The 27,525-nt window shown below is 43.6% G+C and overlaps 1 long non-coding RNA gene across 1 annotated transcript in view, besides 1 other annotated feature; it reads right to left on the reverse strand.

Annotated features, from left to right (window-relative positions):
* The window catches only part of LOC107984696 (uncharacterized), a 76,716-nt gene extending 70,802 nt beyond the window's left edge, over positions 1–5,914 (reverse strand). Inside the window, exon 1 of the long non-coding RNA XR_001750878.3 lies at positions 5,768–5,914. This is a non-coding gene — a long non-coding RNA (uncharacterized LOC107984696). The remainder of the gene's footprint in view (positions 1–5,767) is intronic.
* Positions 23,310–24,309: an enhancer, noted in NCBI's record as "H3K4me1 hESC enhancer chr14:99559873-99560872 (GRCh37/hg19 assembly coordinates)". NCBI's record gives its function as "activates a minimal SCP1, AML or CMV promoter by ChIP-STARR-seq in naive and primed H9 embryonic stem cells {active_cell/tissue: H9 hESC(naive and primed)}" and the evidence as "EXISTENCE:reporter gene assay evidence [ECO:0000049][PMID:30033119]".

Consider the following 27,525-nt stretch of genomic DNA (forward strand, 5'->3'; position numbering starts at 1 on the left):
CCCTGGTCTTCCTCCCTGTCCTTCCCTCAGTGCACGGTTCTTGGGTTTGTATCTGACCGGCTCTCCCCATCCTCCTTTTCTTCCTTTCTCTTTTCATCTTTTTCCTTCTCCTCCTCTTGTCTCCTCCATCCTAGTAGCTCATATTTGGTGAACACTGAACTCTACAGCAGGTTCTAAGCCAAGTTTTCAAGTCCCTTATGACACCTCCTCATCCCAGAACTTTAGGAGGCAGGCATTGCTATTAAGTCCCAATTCTACAGTCTGAAGAGGTTAAATAACTTAGTTGAGGTCACTTAGCTCATCAACAGAAGAATGACTCCAGGGCCCAAGATCCCTCAATAAAGAACCAACTAATACATATTTGTCAAATGAGTGAATGTGAATGAATTTTTTTAAGCCCAGATCTGATCTTGTTCCTGCCCTGGGCAAAACCGTTCTAGGCTGCATGGCCTTCAGACTTAAGTGGCCTTCAGGCTGGAGCCCAAGCCGCACTGTGGGCCCCAGCCTGCCTGCAGCCTCCTCTCCCCAAGTGTCCACATGGCACCCATGGCCCTGTCAGGGCACTGTGGCAGCCTTCTAGGTCAACCATACTTCCTGAACTCGGCACATGGTCAGCCAGACAGTGTCCTCCCTCCACCCACCTCCCCGCTCTAGCAAACTCCAGCTCAGTCCTTCCCTCCTGCCTGCATGTGGCTTCCCATAAAGGCTTCTCAGATCTTCCTGAGCAGATTCAGCCACTACTTCTCTTCTTCCAAGGTACCTCGCTCCCACTCCTTTGCAGGGGTCCACGGACTTCCTGCCTCCCTCTGGGCCTGGGAGTCTTTATGTCATGTGTTGAATTGCATCCCAAAAAATTCATATGGAAAGTCTTACCCCAGCGCCTCAGAATGTGACCTTCTTTGGAGACAGAGTCTTTACAGAGGTAGTAATTAAAATGAGGGAATTAGGGTGGGCCCTAATCCAGTATGACTTGTGTCCTTATAAGGAGGAGAAACTTGGGGACAGACACACACAGGGAGAAAGCCACATGAGGATGGGGACTGCCATCTACAAGAAGAGAGGCCTGGAACAGATTCTCCCTCACAGCTTCAGAAGGAACCAACCCTGCTGACACTTTCACCTTGGACTTCCAGCCTCCAGACTGTGAGAAATAAATATCTCTTGTTGAAGCCCCAGTTTATGGTACTAGGTCATGGCAGCCCAAGGAACTTACACACCCAGAAACCCAAACTTGCCTGTCACCTTTGTATACATCCTGCTCAGGGCTGCAGCTGGGAAGGGAGACTACTGAGCAAACCAAAGGGTGAATAAACCCAGGAATACCACGTCCTGAGGGCAGACTAATTGCTAATGGATTTTTAAACCAACTCAATCTGACCACTGAGGTGTTTTCCCTCTGCTGGCCAGCAATTTTCACATAATACACCCTGGCAAAGAAAAGTGGGATGTAAAGCAGGGAGCTTCACTCGATCTAATCCAAGAGCAATTATTGAGCACCTGTTGCATACCTGGAACAGGCTGCCCTGGGTCCAACACGCTCCACCACAATAAAAGGCCTTTCAGCATGTGCTCACATGCACACACACACACACACACACACACACACACCATTCGTATAAAGAATTTTTAGTTTCAAATGCTTCGTCTCCTACATGTTTCTTAAACGTTTGAGGTTTTTGTTTGTTTGTTTGTTTGTTTGTTTGAGACAGAGTTTCCCTCTTGTTGCCCAGGCTGGAGTACAATGGCATGATCTTGGCTCACTGCAACCTCCGCCTCCTGGGTTGAAGCGATTCTCCTGCCTCAGCCTCCCGAGTAGCTGAGACTATAGGAGTGCGCCACCACGCCCAGCTAATTTTTTGTATTTTTAGTAGAGACAGGGTTTCACCATGTTGGTCAGGCTGCTCTAGAACTCCTGACCTCAAGTGATCCACCCGCCCGAGCCTCCCAAAGTGCTGGGATTACAGGCATCATCTACCACACCTGGCCAACTTTTGACTTTTATTGTGCTAGTTTCTCACCTAACCTAACCAAGCTTCGAACTCACTGGGCACATTGAGTCGTGTTACGTTTAAAAGGCCAATGATGTTTCATGACATTCCACACAGCACATCTCCATTCTTTCTTTTTTTAACTTGACAACCTCAGGAGTTTCCAAACTGCACTTAAAAACATATTTTTGTTTGTTTTGGGGAGATAAATAGGAGTTGACATTCACTCACCAGCTCAAGTTCATTCACCGTTACTGGGGGCTGAGCATACAGAGCAAAGGAAACCACCAAGAGCAAGAATCACTACACAAGACCAACCTGCCAGGGCCTCCGATGTGCCAGGGCCTGCTCCAGGCACCGAGCGGAGGGCAGTGAGTACAGCCAAGCCCTTGTCCCGTATCTGCCTGGACCCTGCCCATGGCTCCACATAGCCTCTAAGTGCCGGGCAGTGAGGGTGGCACAGGGACGATCAGGGCCAAGCGCATGGGATGAGCGTAGCCACGATGGGCTGCCAGAATCATCAGACCTAACTTCACACGACAGCATCAGTCAGGAAGTGATCAGGAAGGCTCAGTGTCGGGAAGGCCAGGACTTGTTGGATAGGAAGGCAGGAGGTCACAACTTGGGAGAGCAGAGAAGCTGAATTTGTGTATTTCCAAACACCCGCTGTACTGCAGGCTGTGGTGTGCACGTTGTCTGCTTCGACTGTAAACCACTGCATTTGAGAACTCTGCTTGCATCCTGTCCTTACCCAGTGCCTGCACGAGGTAGGCACTCAACAAATGTTGGCCAGACTAAACTAGTTATAACCCATGTCACTACACAGCAGTTAACGTGGGTGCCTGAGTTCACCCAGAGCTCCTGGAGCTCTTCCTTTCTCAACTCAGCACCCCCCGATGAACGTCCCCATGAACGTCCCCTGATATGGAGCAATTGCCCAAGGCCAGGCAGCTGATCAGGGGAGGTGAGTGGAGAACCCAGTTCTGTCTAACCCCTCTGGACTCTGCCACTGCACCAGGCTCCATCACTCATGAGATGTGACAATGACAGCAAGGCCTGAGATAACCACTTCCCACAAGCCAGGCACTCGATGTTCATTATTGTGTTTCATCTCCACCAACCTCTGCCCTTGGAGGGACATGCCATATGACACCCATTTGACAGTTGAGGACACCGAGGCACCGAGAGGATGGAGAGCTTGCCTGGAGGCATGCAGGTAGTAGGTGACCAGGCCAAGACTCCTGCCTGCGACTCTGGCGTGCTCTTCAACCCTCTCAGCAGTACTTCCTCTCTGTGTTGTGAGCTTTGGGGAGCCCACATCCCTATCATTAAAGGAGAGCAGGGACACACGAGGCTAGGGAAGGTGGCTGCCGGCCAGGAGAACATGGCATGGGAGGTTCCCACAGCAGGGAGGCTGGGGGCGGGCAGCTGGGGGTGGATGGTGCCTTGTCAAGAAGCCAGATCCACTTTGCGGAAAAGCCACTCAGATGCAGAGACCAGAACCTGTTTGAAGAAGGCCAAGGACAAAAGCAGCTTTCATCTGACCTCCCCAACAGCTAAGGGCCACAGTTGGAGTTTGAGAAGGAAAAACAAACACCTCCTACTCACACACATCAAAAGGCGAAGGGAACCTCCTGCACCCTGGCCTAGCCCAGAGAGGGCAGGCATTGGAGATGAGTCCAAACCCAACTCCTGTCACCTGTGAGCTGTGTGACCCAAAGAAAGTTATGTAACCTCTCTGAGCGTCTAATGTCCTCTGCAAAGCATGAAGATGAAAATCCTTTCCAAGGGTTATGTGTGTCTTAAAACACTTTCGAGGCCAGGCATGGTGGCTCATGCCTGTAATCCCAGCACTTTGGGAGGCCAAGGCAGGAGGATCACTTGAGGTCAGGAGTTCAAGCCCAGCCTGGCCAGCATGGTGAAACCCTGTCTCTACCAAAAAAATACAAAAATCAGACTGGCGTGGTGGTGGGCGCCTGTAGTCCCAGCTACTTGGGGAGGCTGAGGTGGGAGGATCGCTTGAACCTGGGGGCAGAAGGTGCAATGAGCCGAGATCATGCCACTGCACTCCAGCCTGGGTGACAGAGTGAGACTCTGTCTCAAAAAAATAAAAATAAAATAAAATAAAAACATTTTCTGGACTGAGCACGGTGGCTCACACCTGTAATCCCAGCACTTTGGGAGGCCGAGGTGGGCGGATCACAAGGTCAGGAGATCAAGACCATCCTGGCTAACATGGTGAAACCCCATCTCTACTAAAATTAGCCGGGCGTGGTGGCAGGCGCCTGTAGTCGCAGCTACTTGGGAGGCTGAGGCAGGAGAATGGCGTGGACCCAGGAGGCGGAGCTTGCAGTGAGCTGAGATCGCATCACTGCACTCTAGCCTGGGGGACAGAGCAAGACTCCGTCTCAAAAAAACAAAAAAAAAAAAAAGAAATTCTCCCACAGTGCTTGGCACTAGGAAAAGCAGATCCACTTTTACCACCTTTTCTCAGAAAGAGGGCAAGGCCTTCAACGAAGTTCTTTTCCACCCAGGCTCCCAGCTAACGCGGCTGAGCTGAGTTAATGGGGAGGAGGCTGAAACAGGCAACACTAGTCAGGGTTTCCTCGGTCCCCAGGAAGCCCCACAATGCCCAGCTCGGGGCTTGCCCTTGGTCTGAAGCGGAGGGAAAGAAGCCTCATCTCAATCCCATACTTCATAGGGAACCCTTTACCTCCCTCACCTCTGAGACCCCCCATGACAACTCTCCAAAGACATATTGCTTTCCCCGTTTCACAGATGAGGAAACTGAGGCCTAGATTATGGAAATCACTCCGTCAAAGTCACAACCACGGATGCTTCAGGATTCACATCCAATGCAGCAGAAACCCAACACCCAGCCGTGCACCCCAGGAACCATGTGCGGACCCGTGTCCAACCTGACATGCCAGTGCTGGAAATGAGACACGCTCCTCGGCTGGAAACAGGCAAGAGCCGAATCCAGCCCTGCCAGTCATCCGGTGGAACATATGCATTTCAAGGATGGAACAGTTGTATGCTCTTTTTTACCCAAACTTAATATTTTGCATGTTCCTCTCTCAAACACCACAAGCCTTCCTGTGGCCATGTTGCGCAAGTCCCAGAGATATTTTCTGTCTTATGTTTTACCCCACACAGCGGCTGTCTTCTGAGAAAGGAAATCGACCAAGGGACAAAATCTTGTAAATATTCCAGCCATTCACTTATCCCGCATAATTACCCTGCAAAGAACAACATTTGGGCCTCAATTCACAGGCAGATAGCTGCATTATGCAATTAGCCAACATGCCATTAGCGGAGTTTGCAATGTGCCTGAGCTGATGGGCCCCACAGGCTTCCAGGAGACCCCGTGTATCGGGAAGACGCACGGCGAAGTAGAACCTTCCCCAGGGAAGGTGCCTGGAGGAGGGTCATACAGAAAAGTGGAGGTGAGCTCCTAAAATTTTGTAATCCACCTTCTTCCCTCCAACCAATCCACCTTCACACAGGCTCATCTTCAACATTTCTCCCCTAAGCTATTGTGACAGCCTCCGACCTGGCTTCCCTGCCTCCATCCTTCAGTCAGTGACAGCTTTCTAAAATCCATGTCTCTTCTCTAATTCAGTGTCACCCCACCACCTTCAGGGGACACTCAAGCATGGCCCAGAATTCATGATCTGCAGTCCCTCCAGCCTCTTGTTTTGACACACCCAAGTACTCACTCACCCTTCTACAAACACAGGCATGTGCACACACACGTTCACAAATGCTGGGATACCCACCTCTCCCTTTTCCCACTCTCCCTTCTGTTGGCCAAGGAGCTGCCGACCCTGCAAGTCTCAGATCAAGCATCACATCTTCATGGAGGCTGCTCTTATCTCTCCCTCCACCTCCAGTCTGGAACTCATACCATGCAGGGCTAGAATGCTACGGAAGCTGCCTTCTCTACAGGGAAGATGACTCTGTGTTGCAAAAGAGTATGAGTAACCATTAACAGCCTTGCGATTTCTTCCAATTTGTACAAGAAGTCATTTCTTTACCATGGTGTGCCAAGCAGTGGGATTACCAATCTTTAAACCCATTGCCAAATAGTGCTAATTTCCACTCCCAAAGACAATGTTTAAACAAGTGCGCCTAATTCTTAATGTCATTATCAGTGCTTGAAATTACCATTATTTTCAAGTTTGCTAATTTAGTAGATAGAACATCAGGCATCATTTTATTTTGCATTTTATACCTAGTAAGGTTGACTATTTTTTTATGTGGTTGGGGATTGCATCCCACCTTCTTACAATTATCTATTTAAATTATTTACTATTAGAATCAAGTGGTTTTCTTGATAATCTGCAGCAGTCCACTGTACAAACCAGGGAGGGACACAAGGTTCTCCTCAACATTATTTATAATAGCAAATAAAGGAGGACTTTTAATAAGGGAACAGTTCAAACATTCAGAGAGCAACACTTCTATAGAACATTAGGCACCCTTAGAAATGCTAAGGATAAAGACTGCAGACCATGACAAATGCTTACTGTGTGAAGGGAAGGCAAAAGCAATACAAGATTGCTTCGATATTCTGATTACAGCTATGCAAAATGCACTATATGCTGGGTCCTAGAGAAGCAAGGATGAGCAAGACTGTCCCTTCCACTGAAGAGCTCACAGTCCAGCTCAGGGAGAGAAATATAGCAGCAGACTGTTTTGGTGCAATGTGAAAAATGTTTCCATAGAAGGGGATGCAGCAGGTAGTGGGAGCTCAAGGCATAAAGCCACAGGAAGGCTTCTTGGAGGCAATGATGTCCCAGCTGAACCTTGAAGGACTGAGTGGTTGGTCCTGCTGATGGAGTTGGCATCTGCTGGACTTGGAGCCCCAAGCAACTGTTCAAGTATTGCTGACTGGTCCTCCACCTGAAGGCTGAGCCTCCTACTCTTGGCAAACTGTCAATTCAAAAGTAAAGCAATGTTATGTGCGTGGTCCTATATGTTCCTCAATAACCCTCTGAGGTGGGTATATTACAGCTTATTCCACAGCAGGAGGAAGCAAAGACTAAGGAGGCTAGATCTCTTGTGTTGAGTCATACCAGCTTCAAAACCACAACTGAAAAACTCCAGAGCTCATGCACATAACCCTTGTGCCGATGTTTCTGGAACCTTCTGCACCAGAATCATGTGGAACGACTGATAAACATCAGGATCCCAAGACCCTCTCCAAAGAGACTGAATTTAAACTTCTGGGAATGTGGTGAAGGCATCTGGATTTTTTTAAGCATGCCTTCTAGATTATCTATATAGACACTGAAGTTTGAGAACCAATGAATGGCATGCCACTTACTGACATATTCTCAGGAATGTTTTCACCTGCCTGGATCAAGCACTCACTTTCCATGGCCCAGCCTCCATGCCTGCTGTCATCATTGCTTGCTGCTTAGGACAAGGTGCACGTGAGGCATTGCTAAGAACAAACCAGGCCCTCAGCTGGGGTCCTCCCTCTTCCAAGAATACTTGACCCTCCGGCTGACTGAGCTCATCGTCGTGTTCAGAGCTAGAGTGCAACCTGTCTTCCTTCTCGTTTTTATTTGACACTGGCAGCAATGAGGCATCTCCTCTGCTAAATTAATTATGTCCATCATCACTAAAAGAAATCCACTGAGCTTCATCAAGCCTGGCAAGTTAGGGAGATGCCTGCATCTCAGACACCGACATCAGCAACAGAAACGGATGCTGGAGGCAGACAGAGGAAGGGAGGCAGAGGCTGTCGGAGGTCAAAGGCTCCAGGACTTGACGTCATCAGCCAGGGCTGAGGGAACAACCTGGAGTCAGGAAAACCCAGGCCTAAGTCCTGTCTGCCTTTTGCAAGCCGTGTGACCTTGTCCTTGCCCTTCACCTCTCTGCCTTTCAGTTTCCTTATCTGTTAAATGGGCATAGTAACACTGGCTCACAGGGTTGTTGTGAGGGTCATTTGAGCAGACGTGTAAAGCATGAACTAGAAATAGTCACTGATTCTAAGTGAGCCACTTAGTGGCAAGGATGGGACTTATTTTACACTGAAGAGTAGGTTATTTTATGGGAATGGGAAAACTGCAAAGTTCTTTTTTTAAGGTTATTTACAAATATAAATGTACTTTCTTTAAAGGTGTATTAAAAAGTGGTAAAATACTAAGAGAAAGGAGGCGACAGGGCATTTCCTGACCAAGCTGAGCTACTTGGGGTGTCCTGCAGGTGGGGGCTGTCTGGCTCCTTCCCCTCCCTGCACTCGTCCTTGCAGGCCTCACCCCTGCCCACACCTCTTGGCACTTCATCTGATCCTTAAACATCCGCCACATGAGGCCTCCCCTCGACCACCTGCACACTCTTCCTACTGCCTGTTGGTCTTCCCACGAAGAGCCATGTCCTCACTCCGGACCCCCTCCAGGCCCTGCTCAAATCCCTCTTTCATTGGCCTGGCCCTCCCAGATGACCCACAGAAAAGCAGCCCTGCGCCTGCAATCTTCACCTTGCACGGATCACCATCCCTCACCATCTGACAAGCACCATCCCTCACCATCTGACCAGTTTACTCAGCTATGCTCAGCTGCTGCCCCCAAGTACACAGACTGCCTACAAGTTCCCATCTCAGCACCTGGAAAGCTTCCTGGGCACTCAATAAATAATCAATACTGTCAAATTAATGACTCCGTTACGTGGGCTGTATGCCATTTAATTCATACATCCAGCCGGAGAGATAGTAATGGGCTATTGTTCCCATTTTATAGATAAAGGAAATGAGGCTCAGAAGAAATGAGCAACTGGCCAAGATCCCACAGCCAGTAAGTAAGGGTGTAAGTAATAGGAATTCAAATTCAGGTCCATCTGAATCCCATCCACAAACCCAGCACTTTGTCTCAAGTCTCCAAAGGGCAAGTACATAACGAAGGGGCTGAGTGGCTGAGAACATACTGGACTAATCAAAAAACCAGTGTGACACACTGCACAGCCGTACAACAGGCCCATCCAGATCTAAACCACGGCGAATGAACCCCTGACTTCCTGGCCTCACCACCTACAGCAGGAGCCCCTTTCCCAGGGCCGCAGGCTGTGAGAAACCTAGAGTACTTCGCAGTCCCCAAGGAAGAGCTCAGTGAAACCATCTGGTCCCACTTGTCATGGGAGCAGAAGAAAAGAACTCTCTGCAAGGGTTCTAGGAAATTCACTGCTCCCCACCCAGGGTTCAGGGAAGGCAGGAGGGGAGCAAACCTTTGCTGAGAGTATTCTTGGTCCAGGCTCACACTGGCCCTTCCCCACCATCCCTTTTCTCACCCTCAGGACAGCAGTGCATGGCAGAGGCCATCAGGGCCATGCAGAGTGGGCCCGTCACACCTCTGGGGACACGGTTCACATAGACCATGCGATGAGAGGCTTTACTTACAATTGTGTGACCTGGTAACCCAGGGCATCATCCCATTTTAGAGAAATGAAAGCAGAGGCTCAGAGACAGGACCTGACTTATGTAAGATTCCCCAGTTAATGAAATGCCAAGCTGGGATCCAAACTCGTTATCTGATCCCAAAATCCACACTCAGCCCATCCACCACAACACCTACACTCTCGAGCTCACACATGTTAATTCATTTCGTCTTTGCCATGATCTAGGAAGAGAGGTATTAGAAATTAGCAAACTCCTCAATCGGCCCCAATCAAAGGGCTGTGATAAGGGATCACCTCCTGTGTGATTTCAATCCAAAAAATCCACAGCGTTTCATTATAAACATAATCATCTTAAATAAGAGGTAAGTCTTGCTGCAGGAAAGTCACTGTTAAACACTACACAAACCAGCAACAGCCCACCAGACACACCAGGAAAGGAAAAAGAAGAAATATCTGAAGTGTCCCCCTACTTTTACCCCCACACCTTCTTCAATCAGTCCTGATGGACAGAACCCACCAGAACATGGTCAGCTTCTCTCACAGCTGGGAAGTAGTAGAATCAGAATCGAAATCCAAGCTACTCTAACTCCAAAATTCAAACATTTTCCCCTATACTTCACTGCCTGTTAACATTATTTCATTTATTCTTACAGTGACCCAAACACCCATTATTATTATCCTTATGGTGGCAGACTATATTTTCCAGAAACAGCTGCACCCCATCCCAGAGCCTTACCATGTCCCCAGCAAGAGCTGCAGCCTGTGTCTCCTCTCCTTGAACCTGGATGGGCCTCAGTGAGTGTGTTTAACAATAGATGACCCAGAGATTATGCTGTGAAGAAGCCAAGGGCACACGAGGAGGCTGCAAGTAGATGTCCCTGCTGACAGTCCCTTCTGAAATCCCAGCCAACAGCCAGCAGCAAGCACCAGTTACATGAGTGTGGAAGCTCCGGGTGACTCCAGCCCAGCCACCAACTAACTGCAACTCCATGAGAGGTCCTGCCTAAGAACCGCCCAGCTGAGCCCAGAACCAGATGAGATTATAATAATAAATGAGTGTTGATGGTTTATACTACCAAGTATGACATGGCTTGCTATACAGCAATACAAAACCAGAGGCTCACCTTAAAAATAAGTAACTGTGGCTCAAGGTTATGAAATGACCTGTCCAAAGGTGAAAGGCAAAAAGCTAAATATCCAGGCTAACCATATCTGATATTGGGATGCTCTCCAGGAGCAGGAGGAAGGATGGGGAGGCCATTACTTTGCCACTTCATTCATTGCATGTGTTCCCTTTGGCTTATTAAACCATGAGGCCTTCTTTTACCCAGGGAAATAAAGGAAGGATGTTTGCTGGTGTCGTTTCTGCATGGGAAGATGAATATAATATAATCCTGGTCTGTAATGACTATTCACATAAAAATCATGTTTTCTTTACAAAGAGCCTCTCTCCCTTTTTCTCTCCCCCAAATCAATCCAAACTGCAAGAACTATGAAAAGTACAGCCTCCAAGATGATCTTCAGTCTGTCAGATTTGCAGTCCTTCATTATAAGCATAATCATCATAAATGAAAGATAAGGCTTGGTGCAGCACAGTTCATCATGGAAAGATGCTAACTCACCAGCCCGTCTGCCTGTGAGAACTGCTGTTCCATGTGGGTGAAGTGGGGGAAACAAAACCTGGAGGAGGTGGTTAAATGCCCCCATCAGCCAGGGGACGCTCGGAGGTGGAACCCACCAGAACCGGCATGGCAGCCCAGGCTGAGCGAATTCCTTCCCACACACTTTCTGGTTCCTTCTCAAACTTCTCCAAGGCAACAGATTTTCACTTTCTTTTAAGATTTCTTTTTTGCTCAGAGAAAGGGAAAGAAAGAAGTTACTGCACACTGAGTTCTTACACTCCAGGCATTTTGGGGCCACGCTGCAGACGGTGTCTCAAAAGCTTTATAGCTACCCTGGGAGGTGGGCATTATTTCGGGTAGCAGGAGCGGGGCTGCAGAGTCTAGACAGACATGGGTTTGAATCCCCTGATACTCAATAGCTGTGCAAACTGATGCTCAACAAATGAATGCTTGATAGAGAGAAAATAAAATATAAGGCTTGCTCTCATTCTCATCCCATCCTCTTCCCTCTCACCATCACACATCCCCATCTACAAATGCATAGAAAAGGTTTAATCCTGCATAAAGACCAGGCTCACCATTCCTAAGGTGCAGCCCAGGCAGGTTGCTGCCCTCTAAGCTTATGAATCTCACCCCAGTGGCAGACTTACTATCATCTGTAAGCAGAACATAACCAAGCCTATTCCCCAGACCTGGGGGAGCTGAAGGAAGAGTCCGACCCCCAGGGGAGAGTGAGATGCACAGATTGCACCATCCTGAGAAAACTGCGGGACCCAGGGACAGTGCAGGGGGTGGGGGTATTGTCACAGCAGACTGAAGGCCTCTAGAAGAGTTGGGTGTGATGAGAAGTAATAGAAAATTCCAGTAGGTGCCCAGTAGGAGCCAGAATGCACTGCACTTCCTGTCATCCAGACAACTCTGGAGAGAACAAGGGGACCCAATGGTGCTAACCCTGCTCTCACCAAGAGCACCAGCTATTTATAGGAGAGGCTGTGAATACCCATGAGCTCATCAGTCCCTTCTAATGGCATTACTAATTGCAGGCGTACCTTGGAGATACTGCACTCATAGTTCCAGACCACCACAATAAAGTGAATATCAGAATAAAGTGAGTCACCATATTTTTTGGTTTCCCAGTGTGTATAAAAGTTATGTTTACACCATACTGTATTTTTAGTCCATTTTCACACTGCTGATAAAGACATACCCGAGACTGGGTAATTTATTTTTTTAAAACAAAAACAGGTTTAATGGACTCACAGTTCCATGTGGCTGGGGAGGCCTCACAATTATGGCAGAAGGCGAAAGTCATGGCTTACACGGTGGCAGACAAGAGAGAATGAGAACCAAGCAAAAGGGGTTTCCCCTTATAAAACTATCAGATCTCCTGAGATTTATTTACTACCATGAGAACGTATGGGGGAAATCACCCCCATGATTCAATTATCTCCCACCAGGTCCCTCCCCCAATACATGGGAATTATCGGAATTATAATTCAAGATGAGATTTGGGTGGGGACACAGCCAAACCATATCAACTCTAGTCTATTAAGTGTGCAGTAGTAGTCTGTCTGAAAAACAATGTACATACCTTAATTTAAAAATACTTTATTGCTAAAAAATGCTACCAATCATCTGAGCCTTCAACAAGTCCTAATCTTTCTGCTGTTGGAGGGTCTTTCCTCGGTGCTGATGGCAGCTAACTCATCAAGGTAGTGGTTGTTGAAGATTGGGGGTGGCTGTGGCAATTTCTTAAAATAAGACAATGATGAGGTTTTCCCCATCAATGGACTCTTCCTTTCCAGAAAGATTTCTCTCCAGCATGCAAGCTGTTTGATAGCATTTTACCTACCACAGAACTTCTTTCAAAATTGGAGTCAACTCTGCCACTTTATCAACTACACTTATGGAATATTCTAAATCCTTTGTTGTCATTTCAACAATGTTCACAACATCTTCACCAGGAGTAGATTCCTTCTCAAGAAATTTTCTTTGCTCATCCATAAGAAGCAACTCCTCATCCGTTCAAGTTTGATCATGAGATTGCAGCAATTCAGGCTCCACTTCTAATTCTAGTTCTCTGCTACTTTCACCACATCTGCAGTTATTTCCTCCACCAAAGTCTTGAAACGCTCAAAGTAATCCATAAGGGTTGGAGTCAACTTTTGTTCCAAATTCCAGTTAATGTCGATGACCTCCTCCCATGAGTCATGCGTGTTCTGCATGGTGAATCCTTTCCAGAAGGTTTTCAATTGCTTTGCCCAGATCCATCAAAGGAATCACTATCTATGGTAGTGGTAGCTTTATGGTAGCTTTAGCCCTATGGTAGCTTTAGCCCTATGAAATGTACTTCTTAAATAATAAGACCTGAAAGTTGAAATTACTCCTTGATCCATGGGCTGCAGGACGGATGCTGTGTTAGCAGGCATGAAAGCAACATTCATCTCCATGTACATCTCCATCAGAGCTCTTGGGTGACCAGGTGCATTGTCAATGAGCAGTCACTTTTGAAAGGAATCTTTTTTTCTGAACAGCAGGTCTCAACAGCAGGCTTAAAATATTTGTTAAACCATGCTGTAAGTGACATGCTATCATCCAGGCTTTGTTGTCCCGTTTATAGAGCACAGGCAGCATAGATTTATCACCATTTTTAAGGCCCTAGGCTTTTCAGAATGGTAAACCAGCATTGGCTTCAACTTAAAGTCACCCAGCTGCATTAGCAGTTAGTAAGGGAGTCAGCCTGTCCTTTAAAGCTTTGAAGCCAGGCATTGACTTCTCCTCTCTAACTATGAAAGTCCAAGATGGCATCTTCTTATCTAATACACAACTGCTTCACCTACATTGAAAATCTGTTGTTAGTGTTCCCACCTTCATCAAGTATCCACCTAAATTATCTTCTGGGTAACTTGCTGCAGCTTTGACATCAACACTTGCTTCTTCACTTTGCACTTTTATGTTATGGAGGCAGCTTCTTTCTTTAAACCTCATGAAATAACCTCCACTAGCTTCAGTTGTTCTTCTATGGCCTCCTCACTTCTCTCAGCCTTCATAGAATTGAAGAAAGTTAGGGCTTTGCTCTGGATCATGCTTTGACTTAGAGGAACGCTGTGGCTGGTTTTATCTATTCAAATCACTAATACTGTCTCCATATCAGGAATAAGGCTGTTTCACTTTCTTCTTATTCATGAGTACATGGGAACAGCGCTTTTAATTTCTTTCAAGAATTTTTCCTTTACATTTACAACTTGGCTAATTAGTGCAAGAGGCCTAGCTTTCAACCTATCTCAGCTTTAGACACCCCTTCCTCACTAAGCTTAATCATTTCTAGCTTTTGATTTAAAACGATAGACATGTGATCCTTCCTCTCACTTGAACACGTAGAGGCCATTGTATGGGGTATTAATTGGCCTAATTTCAATGTTGTTGTGTCTCAGGGAGTATAGAGGCCTGAAAGAGAAAGAGATAGATGGAGGAATGGCTGGTCAATGGAGCAGCCAGAGCGTACATTCATGTATGCTCCAATTAATCAGTTAAGATCACGATCTCATCTGGACACACTTCATGGTGCCCCAAAACAGTTACCAGAGGAACATCAAAAATCACTGATCACAGATCACCATTACAAATATAATAATAATGAAAAAGTGTGAAATATTGTGAGAATTACTAAAACGTGACACAGAAACACAAAGTAAGCACATGCTGTTGGAAAAATGGTGCCAATAGACTTGTTCAATAGGAGTTGCCTTAAACCTTCAGTCTGAAGAAAAACAATGAAAACTGTGAAGGGCAATAAAGCAAAGTGCAAAAGAATGAGGTATGCCTACATTAAATATAAATGACACATTGCAAGTCACACATCACATCTGCACCTTAATTCAAACAACTGTCCTAAAACAAAGTTGCATCGCAGTGCTTATAACTCAGGGCCCTCAAGCTCCCATTAATTTATAGAAGAATGGTTATTACTAGGGACCATTTGCTTGGAGGTTCCAAGTCCCAGGGGAAAGTGAGATGCACAGATCTCACCATTCTGAGAAAACTGTGAGGCCCAGGGACAGTGTAGGGGGTGGGAGAATTGTCAAAGAAGCTTTTTTCCAGGACCTTGATAAGGCAAACATCTATTACATATCACCACAGTCCCAGGGTCAAAGGCACTCAATAAGTACTTTCTGAAAGAATGAATGAATAAATGGATGAGCCAAATGTCCCATTAGACACTACTGTATAGTTCATATCATTTAATAAAGTAATGCTGCTCGGTACACTCACTGAGCCTCAGTTTCCTAATTTGTAAAAGAAAGACAACATGACCAACCTTATAGTGTTGTAAGGTTAAGTGATATCATATATGTCCAAGGTTTATCCACCTATAACCATCAGTATATGTTCAATTAGGTTTAGTAAATATTGAATCATCTTTAGTGTTGTTGTTAGCTACTGTTTATTTAGCGTCTACTAAGTGCTAGCAGCTTTCTAGGCATCCTAACGCTTATAATAGTTCTTCAAAGTAGAAAATACGGTCACCTTTATCATGCAGTATTTATGAGAGCTAAAGAAGTAAAAAGGTTAATACAGAATAATACAATAACTTCCACTGCTGGAGAACAGCAGATCAAGTGTGCAAAGGCACTGTCATAAATCAAAACAAGACTGTCCTCAATAACATGGGCTTTTTGACACATCAATGGGCTTTCAAGGTACGTGGAATTCTTCAAACCTGCCAGTCTTCCTCAAAATGTGAGCTAAATCTAAAGTTGGTGATATAGTTTGGCTGTGTCCCCACCCAAATCTCATCTTGAATTGTAGTTCCCATAATCCCCAAGTGTAGTGGAGGGACCAGTGGGAGATAATTGAATCATGGGGGCAGTTACCCCCATACTGCTGTTCTTGTGGTAGTGAGTGAGTTCTCATGAGATCTGATGGTTTTATAACAAGGGGTTTTCCCCTTTTGCTTGACACTTATCTTGGCCACTGCCATGTAAGATGTGCCTTTCCTCTTCCTTCACCTTCTGCCATGATTGTGAGGCCTTCCCAACCATGTGGAACTGTGAGTTTATTAAACCTCTTTTCTTTATAAATTACCCAGTCTCAGGTATGTCTCTATTAGCAGCATGAGAACAGACTAATACAGTTGGGATAAGCTGGCAGTGTATCAAATGAAGAGGTTTGCTGGCCTTGAGGATGAGCACCAATTACCATTGCAATTAGGCTCCTGAGCCTAGGACAAAGAGCAAGGTGGAGGAGTTGAGCTTGGCAGTCCTTGCAGATATGAGATGCTCAAAGGTGATGGATATGTCTTCAAGTCTTCGGTGCACCTGATTCACAGCAGAACTAGACAGAAATCTCTGGAGGAAAGCATCCCTCATTTGGGCCCTCAGGAGTAAAAAATCTGAAAATAAGATTAAAAAATGAGCAGTAAGCTCACAATGAAAAGTCACAGAAAGAGAAGATGGCAAGTATCTGTAAATGGCAGTCAACAAATGTAACAAATAATAGATTTAAACACCTCAGGGTTGCAGATATTAAATAATCCAATACATATTATATCAATGTATGAAATGTAATAAGAATGTAAGAAATGCATAAAGAAAGTAACATTGGAATCACAAAGATAAAAAGTAAACAAGAGACCATCAGGAATGACCAAATAGGTTTGAAAAATAACCAAATGGAACTTCTAAAACTGAAAATTTTTAATTGATTTTTTAAAAATTCAATGGATGCTTGACAAGTTGATTACACACAACTAATAATAAAATATGTGAACCCCAGGATAAGAGTCTGATCAAATTACCCAAAATACAGTATCAAGAGATAAGGAAATAGAAAATATAAAGGTAATGAAAGAGATACAGAGAATAGAATAAGAAGCTCTAACATATCTCTAGTCAGAGTCCTAGAAGGAGAGTGCAGATATATAAGAATAGAGGTAATATTTCAAGAGATATTAGCTGAAAAATTTCTAGAACAAAGAGAAGACATATATCCAAGATTCAGAAATCACATAATACACTCCAAGTAAGAGTAAATGTTTCAGGTCCTCTCAGATGCCTATAGTGAATCTTTAAAACACCACAGGCAAAAATAAGATTTTTTTTAAAGCAGCCAGACAAAAAGTAGAGACAATCTTGAATGGAATAATCAGAAGACTGAAAATAAGCTTTTCACCTCCATAATGACAGCCAGAAGAAATGTGATGGTGCCTTCAAAGTGTGGAGATGCCAACCCAGAATTGTGTACTTCACAAAACTGTGTACCCAATAAGAGCAAAAGTAAAACAAAAATATTCAGATACATGTGGTTGGGAGTAAACCACCACACCTCCCCTAAGGAAGGAAAGAGAATTATCACAAAAAGGTCCTTGTGAGAAGCAAGAAGAAATGGTGAGCAAATAAGCTGATAAACATGCAGGAACATTAACAAAACAATGTGTGTATAAGATAATAACAAAGTCTAATTTATAAAGCCACAGAAAAATCATAGAATTAAAATATTACACAACAGTAACTTGTAGGTTGGAAGGATGGTAACTTGATTTGGGATATTCTAACGTCCTTTTATAATCAAAGGGGTTTAAAATATTGTTTAGTATGTCATTAAATTAAATATGCATGATAATGTGTCCAGGACAATCAGGAAAACAAAAGGGTAAATTTCAAAGCAGTAGAGGGAGAATAAAAATGGAATAAAAATAAGCAAATGAATAATTTTTAAAAATAACCTTTAATCAATACTTCCACCCAGGCAATAAAGAATAAAAGAGGATATTTAAAAAGCGGAAAAAGAAAAATAACAAACTAAGGTAATAGAAACAATAAGAAATAAATCAATAAGTAAATAAATGTAAGTGAACTAAATTAACCAATCCAAGACAAGATAATCCAGAATATTTTTAAAATTACAAGAAACACACAGTTATATTCACTATCTGGTTTAAGAAGTAAAATATTATCAGCAAAATTGAATCATCTATCTGCCGCTTCCTGATCACAAACCCATCCCCTTCTACCTGGGGGGAAGAAAATAAAACTGTATTCAGTTCAGTGTCTATTATAACTAGGCAGACCCATATTGCTACAAATGTAAATATTACTACACACACACACACACACACACATGCTTTTTTTTGTACACCACATTTTTACTCAAAATTACGTTCAAAAGATTTGTCCATTTTGATACATGTAACTTTAGTTCACCAATTTTCACTGCTGTATTATTTTTATGAGAATAAAAAATAATGCCACATAAATAATAATGCCACAATTGATTTATCCATTCTCCTATTGATTGGCATTGCTATTTTAGAAACTACTGCTATAAATGTTCTTATTTATAACTCCTTGTTTACATTTGCAAAAGTTTCTCTCTAAGGTAAATATTTGGGGTGTGGAATTTCTAGTTTATGGAACACAAATATCTTCAATTTTCCCAGATAAGGCCAAATCAAAAGTAGCTGCACCAGATGGCCACATTTCTTCCAATGCCAGACTAGGTAATTGGGACCAACTTCCCCACTTTAAAACCTAGAAAATCTGAATAATATTTTAATTTAAAAATAAAAATTAAATGCCTGAAGGCATTGGAGAGTTATCAAGACAGTGAAGAATTACAGGGCCAAAATCCAGGAAAAGAAGAAAACTCAGTGAGACAAACCCAGCTTGAGATTTTGAAAAAAATTACAACACTACAAGTGTTATAAATTTAAATATAAAATTAAAGTTCAGGGACCATCAGTTGGTGGACTTACTGAACCACCAACACCAGAAGTGGTGTCCACTTTTTCTATGACCCTTTTTTCTCCTTTTCTTTGTTTCGGCTTTTCACAGGGAGACTGATTGAGTTTTGGTTTTTAAATAACCTAAAGGTATATACTCTAGAAGTAAAGGCAAACTAGAAATACGCTGTACCTCAAAGGGATTAAAGTCCTATTTGAAACATCGCCATCCCTAATTGGCTTAAGGAGATCAAGCATTGCCTGCACACCCTGCCACAACCAAACACTAGACTTCCCTAGAGAGGGATATAATATGATCATCCTAGTTCTAAATTTAAATCTACAATTTTTCCAATATTCAGTCAAAACCACACACACAAGAAGGCAAAATAACATAGCTGACAACAAAGAGAAAATATATGGGAACTTTCCATAAGTCTTCCAGACAAAGGAGGTATCACATCCAGACTTCAGAAATAGCTAGCTTCAAATGTTCAAGGAAATAAAAGATTGACAATTACATAGAGAAGCAGAAACTGTAGAGATGATTCAAATATAAAGTCTAGGACTGAAAACTAGAAGAGCTGAATTTAAAAATTCAGTAAATAGGTTTAATAACAAATAAGATATAGCTGAAGAGATAATCAGTAAGCTAAAAGATGTGCTAGAAGAAAAGGTCTAGAATGATTCATGGAGAGACATGAAGATAGGAAAAACAGAAGAGAAAATGTAAGAAGTATATAAGATACATAAAATTGGAGTCCCAGAAAAACAGGAGAGTAAGGCAGAAGCAATATTTAGACGTGAAAAATGACAGAAAGGTAAATGTATAGGTATATGTAAATGAGCCTTAATATATTTAAAAAAGACGTGGGATATGAATAATACAGGGAAATAAAATGCATAAAAACTATAACATATAATCAGAAAAGGAAGTAAATGAAGTTAAAGTACTCTAAGACTTTTGCATTGTCTAAGAAGTGGGGAAAGTACTGTTAAAAAAAAAATCAAAGATGCCTGTTATCATCTCTGGGGCAGCAGTTTTCAGAATGTGGCTCATAGACCCCTGGGAGTCCCCAAGGGCAAAACTATTTTCATAATGCTAAGGCTTATTTACCTCTTTTAAGTTTGTTCATATTTGCACTGATGGTGCAAAAACCACAGTGGGGCCAGGTGCGGTGGCTCACGCCTGTAATCCCAGCACTTTGGGAGGCCGAGGCAGGTGGATCACAAGGTCAGGAGATCGAGACCATCCTGGCTAACACAGTGAAACCCCATCTCTGCTAAAAATACAAAAAATTAGCCGGGTGTGGTGGCGGGCGCCTGTAGTCCCAGCTACTTGGGACGCTGAGGCAGGAGAATGGCGTGAACCCAGGAGGCAGAGGTTGCAGTAAGCCGAGATCGCACCACTGCACTCTAGCCTGGGCAACAGAGCGAGACTCCGTCTCAAAAAAAAAAAAAAAAAAAAAAACCACAGTGGATAAAACTGCTTGTAGCTTGTAGAAAGCATGACGGTGGTAAGAAATTGTACTACTAGTCATTGTAGTCTTCACTGCCATGTAATTGCAGAAAAAAAAAAAGAAAGGGCAATTTACTACTCTTGCTGGAACAGTGAAAAAGTATTAATTTTTATTAAATTACAAACTTGGACTACATGTTTTAAAATATGCTATGTGATGAAATGGAACATAGGCATGAAGCACAGCTGCTTTATCCTGAAATAAAATGGTGATCTCAAGGAAAGCACTTGTGTAATTAAGTTGCAAGGTGCACTGCCACTTTTTCATCCAAGACCATTTTTACTTACAAGAATAACTGACAGGGAAACTGTGGTTATTCCAAATTGAATATTTGACAGACATCTTCTCAAAATTTAACACAGTAAACATGTCACTTTCAGGAAAATAATGTACAGTGTATGTTATCAATGATATATAATTTAAGCTTTCAAATAATAATTAGAATTTTATAAAACTTGTCTTGGCCATTCTGAGCTTGATAGATTCCCAATACTTCTGTGGTAAAATCAATGACAACATAAACAAATGTAATTTTCAAGTATTATATAATCAAACGTGTCAACATTTGGAAGACCTGAATAACTCAATGAAGCAATATTTTCCAAATGACCAGTGCACAGTGATACAAAATTAAACATGAGTGAAAACCTATTCAAATTGCAAGGGAGACCAAAAGATTTTTATGAGAAGTTCACGGATCTGGCTTTAGATTCCACTTTGCTACTAACCTTTAAGAAATTACCACTTGTGAATGTTTTGTATAGGACCTAAGAAGATACCCACATTACTCCAAAAAAGCCATTGAATAGTCCCCTTTTTTTCATCTACGTATCTGAATGAGGCCACATTTTATTTGTGTATTTCAACCAAAACAGCGTATCACAACAAATTTAATGCAGAAGCAGGTATGAGGATATAGCTGTCTTCTACTAAGCTATTCATTAAAGAAACAGAAAAAAATGGAAAATAATGTCATCTTCTCAGTATTTTTTGTTTTAGAAAAGGTAGTTATTTTTCACAAAAATAAGTAATGTCTAATAACTAGTATTTATTATTACTTTAAATTGAATTAATAAATATTTTAAATTTTTCTTGGTTTTAACTTCTATTACAATAATATATTGATAAGGTAATCCAGAAAAATAAAAATCATTTTATCTTTCTAACAATTTTTCAGAATATAAAGATGTTCAGAGACCAAATAGTTTGAGAACCAGAGTTCTAGGATAATCATTGAAAGAATAACAAAAGAACATATAAATACTAAGTTAAGAGAAGAGAAAAAAAGAATAATTTAAAAAAGAGTGAATCCAAAAGAAGGCAAGAAAGGAGGAAAAAAAAACATAGGTTGGACACAATAGACTATATTGGTCATTACATTAAGTGCAAATGCACAAAGACTGTCAGATAAGATTTAAGAAAAGCAAACCAATTGTATGCTGCTCACGTGATACACATTTCAAATATAAGGATACAGAAAGATTAGAAGTAAAAGGATGAAAAGCTATCTTAATATAAACACTAACCAAGAGAAGCTGGTATAACTACATTAATATAAGACAATGTAGACTTCAAGGAATAAAATGTGACTAGATATAAGGACAGATATTTTCTAAAATACAAAGTCTAATTTTCCAGAAAGAGAAAATAATTCTAAATGTACATGCACCTAATAACATAGCCTCAAAATATATAAAGCAAAAACTAACAGAACTAAAAGCAGAAATAGACAAAACCATCACCACAGTGGCAAATTTTAACACATATTTTTCTAATTGATAGAACAAACAGACCAAAAGCGTTATCAAGGATATGGAAGTTTTGACTAACATAATTAACCAACTTGATCTCAATGACATTTATAGAACACCGCACCGAATAATTGCAGAGTATACCTTCTTTTCAGGTACACTTAAACATTCACCAAAATTGACCATATGCTGAGACATAAAGCAAGTTTCAACATATTTGAAAGGATTAAAATCAGACACAGCATGTTCTCTGATCAGAATGGAATTCAGCTATGTATCAATAACAAAGTAAGAAGAATATTTTTGAAAATTAAGAATTTGGGGGAATTAAGAAATACACTGCTAAGAAATACACTGGGTCAAACAAACAAATACAATGGAAATTAGAAAATATTTTAACTAAATGATAGTGAAACTACATGATTTGATAATTCATGGGATGCACAAAAGCCATGTTTAGTGGGAAATTGATATAGACTTAAATGTATACATTAGAAAAGAAGTAAAGTTGGAAGGCCATGATGCAAACTTCCATCTCAAGAATCTGGAAAAGGAAATAGCAAATTAAACCTAAAGAACGTGGTAGGAGGAGTGGCTGCTGGAGAGTCTGGGGTCTGTCCTCTCTTGGAGTCTGCAGACAGACACTGCCCTGGGGAGGCTGTCATGGGCTGCTTGGGGTGCAGGTAATTCACCAGGGAGGACAGCCCCCACAACAGTCAGGTTCAGCCACTTTCTGTCTCCCATTCATTTTCTTTCTCTGTCACATATTTTTGCTAATCTAGTATTACAGGGTTTCAGTGTACATTCTCCTAATTACTAAAAAGATTGGGAATCTCTTCAACTGTTTGGAACTTCATGTGGTTCCTGGTCTATGAACTGTCCATTCAGATATTTTGTCCATTTTTCCATGCGTTTGCTTTTCTATTCTTACCTTGATTTTGTAGAATTCTTCCTATGCTCTGGATACAAATCTTTTATTTGTTATGTGTATGGTAAATGTATTCTCCTCGTTTGTAGCCTCCCTTTTCATTTCTTTTAGAGTACCTTTTATTGAACAGAAAATTTTAAATTTAATACGGTCAAACGTATCAATATGCTTCTTTGGGGTTTTTGGGGTGGAGCGGGGGAGGAAAATTGAAAGTTCTTCTCTACCCCAAAGTCATGAAGATATTCCGTTTTCTAAATGTGTTGAAGTTTCTCTTCTCACATTTACATACTTAACCTACCTGGAAGTTATGTTGGGGATCGTATGAGGCTGAGTCCATTCTTACAGTAGAGGAAATTAAGGCTCAGACTGGTAAATGCATGTTAAGGGTTGTAAATGGCAGAGCCTAGAATCAAACCCTGATCTATCTGGTCCAAACCACATGGTCTTTCCCCTGCATCTCATTCCAACCTTCCGGAAGCCTCCAATCTGAGCTGCACTCAGCTCTTGGCCCTGTGGTGGGTGCTGGGGATGCAAAGACCAATTGGCCCAGGCCTGCCACGGAGGAGCTCCAAGGATGACAGGGACTCACATAAGCGCCAGGCCAGGGAACTATAAGTCTCTGGAGGGTGAGATTTTAGAAGCAAGCACAGGGACACTGCAGGGCCCGGGGGCGAGGCTGGGAAAACCCAGCCGGAAAAGCCAATGGAGCACAAAGAAAGGGCCTCTTTTCTGGTTACAAAAGAGCAAAACAACACTTGGGAAGTCGGAAAGTCAAAGTAACCAGCCCAAAATGATACGTGGAAGAAAGTAGCAGAAGTAAAATTGGAAGCCAGGCCTGTGAGACTTCAGTCTCGCTTCTCTTGCTCTTCCAGCATTTCTGTACAGAAACAAAGAAGAAAACAGCAGGGGAGCCTGGGCAGCAGCTGTGGGCGGCCCATCCACCCCAGCTGCCTGACCCTGTCTGAGCTTGAGGCCTCCGCGGGCTGCAGCTTCCTGGTTCCACGGTGCCCTGCGGCCATGGAGGGGCTCTCCTGTTTCCAGAACACCCAGCCTTGCCAGCTGCAGTCAGGTGTTTCCAGCAACACACACACTCACATGTGTGCACAGACACAAACACATGCACACACATACACACCTTGTGCAGGAGCCACGCCCTCCAGCAGGATCTTAACCCTGGAGCCCTGCACACCTAACTCAGATCTCTAACTCTTGAGCCACCCTCTGTCCAGCTGTCCAAGCCGCTCTGTGGCCAGTGCTGGGTGACCTGCATGGGATCCCAGGCATGTGCCTAGGGGCCGGAGGACACACACACACACACACACAAAGTTCAGCCTCAGAAGCCTTAAGAGGATTTTGCAATTAGAAAACCTTAGAAAAAGTTGTTGTAAATCTCACGATGCATGTAAGTTTTGTGTCAATATGAAAAATAAATTTTGGATTTGAATTATATGGGACTGTAGGCATCATCATCTCTTCTCAGCTAAGATCTTCCAAAGGGCTGAATGTTGCCCTGAACAGTGGGTCAGCCCAACAGAACGTTTTTCCAGCTTAATTCTGAGTTGCACTCTTGCTCTTCTTCTCTCTGGCCCTTCCTTTCCGTATCTTCTTCCTCTCTCTCCTCTCTCTGTCTCCCCTCTCTCTCTCCTCCCTTTCACTGTCCTACACATAATCATTTCCAACCCTAAAGCACTTCACATTTGGTGAAAAGCACTTCAGTTTCAAAGTGATTAGAAGCTGAAGATCCGTCGTTTAAAATTTAAATTAAACCGATTAAAATCGCAGGAGCACTTTACATGTTTTAAGCAAATAATTATTTTTTTCCAATACATCCGGGAGGCTGGGGCGAGCCAGGTCTCAACAGGCCTCAGAAAGCACCAGGAACTGACCTCGGGTGCAGCTGGCCTCCCAGGCCAAGCGCCCGGCCCTGCCCAGGCGGCCCAGGGCAGCTTCTCCAAATCCTGGGAGAGGACGGGTCCCGGAAATTAGTCATGACCCTGGGCCTTCCTTCCAAGATCACTCAAAGATAAGACTCTGAGTGTCTATTTGGGGCTTCCTGTGCAAATGGAGGTGGACCTCACTCACAGGAGAGAGGAGAGATTCTCTCAGCACCAGTGGTCCCTGCCTAGTAACCCACACGCTACATTCCGTGGGCCCCAGCATCGACGACATAGACCTCAGGTCACCAGAATGCAAAGAGCATCTCACATTTTCCAAGCACTTTTTGTGTCCTGGCCAGAGTAACAAATAGGCAAAGTCTCTGCCCTTGAGATCAGCCCAGCAGAAGAGTAAAAATATAAATACCAGAACAGAGCTGTAAATATGACAACAGAAAACTGTATTAGCTACTGAAATAGAACAGAGATGGAAACGATTCGCTTCTGAGGTTCTCTGGATTGAAGAGGGGCTATGTGAGCTGGGATTTGCAGGATGAATAGGAGTTTTCAGGTGGACAAAGAATGCACATTTTCAAAAGACCACCAAGGGCCCATGACACTGTGTTCCTATTGCAGAATAAATAAATTTGCAACAAGGTACTCAAGTTATCTTCTCTCACCAAGTTGGAAACTGAGTCTCAAAGGTTTGAAGCTCCTATCAGAAGTGACAGCTAGAAAGTTGTAGACTCAAATCCCAGTGTGACACCAACATTTCAAGTGCTTTTGATTCCCCCCTTATTGATATCTGGAACCAGAGATGGATGTTTTGAGTCGTTTCTTCTTCTTTTCAGCTAAACAGTAGCCTAGGATGAAACCCAACAAACCAACCAGCCAGCCTTCCCCTGCCCTCTGCTGCTGACTCTCACCAGCATATGTCCATGCCCAGCTGCCTTCAGGACCCCAGTGGGAGAGGGAGCTGATGGTTGGGCCTCAGAGGCAGTTGGAACAGAGAGGAAAATAAATAGTTCATGGTCTGCATGGCGAAGGGAGACAGGCAGCTCCAGCCGCGTCCAGGAGAGCCAGCAGGCCAAGCCCAGCCCAGACATTTCAAAAACAAACCTCCGTCCAGGTTTCCATCTCCTGGGGCAGGCCCCACCCTCCAGGAAGAAGGTAACTTCAAGCAGCCCAGGTTTCTTTCTTTTGGAATCTTTGTTTTTAGTTTCCCCTTTCCCCTAATTAGGTTTCAGAGCCCAGAATCATCCAGGCAGCTTCCTCGTGTTCAGCAGGGTTGGATGTGCACTCTGGTGTTTATTTAAAAAATGTTCCCAAAGAGGGATAGTGGTTCAGGGGCAAGGAGAGGGGCCTTTCTGTAATAAGAATTCGCCTTTGGGGCACGGCGGGGGGGCAGGAAGGGGGAGTTGTTTTTAATAGACACAGAGCTTCTGGTGGGGATGACGAAAAAATTTTGGGTATAGATAGTGGTGATGATTACACAATGTTGTGAATGTATTTAATGCAACTGAATTGTATCCTTAAGAATGGTCCAAACGGCCGGGCGCGGTGGCTCATGCCTGTAATCCCAGCACTTTGGGAGGCCAAGGTGGGCGGATCACGAGGTCAAGAGATCGAGACCATCCTGGCCAACATGGTGAAACCCCCATCTCTACTAAAAACACAAACATTAGCCCAGCATGGTGGCGCGCACCTGTAGTCCCAGCTACTCGAGAGGCTGAAGCAGGAGAATTGCTTGAATCCAGGAGGCGGAAGTTGCAGTGAGCCGAGATCACGCCACTGCACTCCAGCCTGGGCCACAGAGCAAGACTCCGTCTCAAAAAAAAAAAAAAAAAAAAAGAAAAGAACGGTTCAAATGACAAATAATAGGTTATGGATATTTTATGATAATATAAAACTCATTATTAGCTCCTGTGGTGTCTTGCAAGTGGATGAAAGATAAGTCTTCAGTAACAATGATTTCACCAGTGATGGCAGACAGGGAAACACTTCTTCACTTTTGGAAGGTTATTGATTGATCGGCCCAGCAGGGCATGGAAAAGACCAGCTCTTCACACATCCTGGGCTTGGCTGGGAAGCAGAGCAGACCCCAGACACCTCCGCGCTCTGGGGATGTATGTTTAACTTGGAGGTCAGTGGAGCTGTGTCTTTTCTCTCAAGGAACAAACTGATAGTTGTGTCCACTGTGACGGGCGTCAGCTCCTGGGCCCTTTCTGAGAGCTATGCCCCTGTCTAGAAGGTTGAGGGAGGGTGGTGGGAAGGTCAACTTTGGTAGATAGAAAAGCCTCGCTTCCAATCCCACCACCGTCACAGTATGACCTTGCAGAGGCTACTCTGTCTCCCTAGGGCACAGCGTCCTCATCTCTCCCATGACTAAAATCTTTCCATCAGGTTGCCTGTAGCTCCCTGGGGAGTAACTAAGCTCCACCTCTTTTTACCCTTTGAGTGTTGCTCTTACCTATTTATTCACACATTTGACAAACATTTACTGCTGGACAGACTATCAAGCAATTCTCCTGCCTCGGCCTCCTGAGTAGCTGGGATTACAGGAGCGTGCCCCCAAGCCTGGCTAATTTTGGTATTTTTTAGTAGAGATGGGGTTTCACCATGTTGACCAGGCTGGTCTCAAATTCCTGACTTCGTGATCCACCAGCCTCCGCCTCCCAAAGTGCTGGGATTACAGGTGTGAGCCACCGTGCCCAGCCAAAA

Source organism: Homo sapiens, chromosome 14 (assembly GCF_000001405.40).
Source record: "Homo sapiens chromosome 14, GRCh38.p14 Primary Assembly".
Classification (NCBI taxonomy): Eukaryota; Metazoa; Chordata; class Mammalia; order Primates; family Hominidae; genus Homo; species Homo sapiens.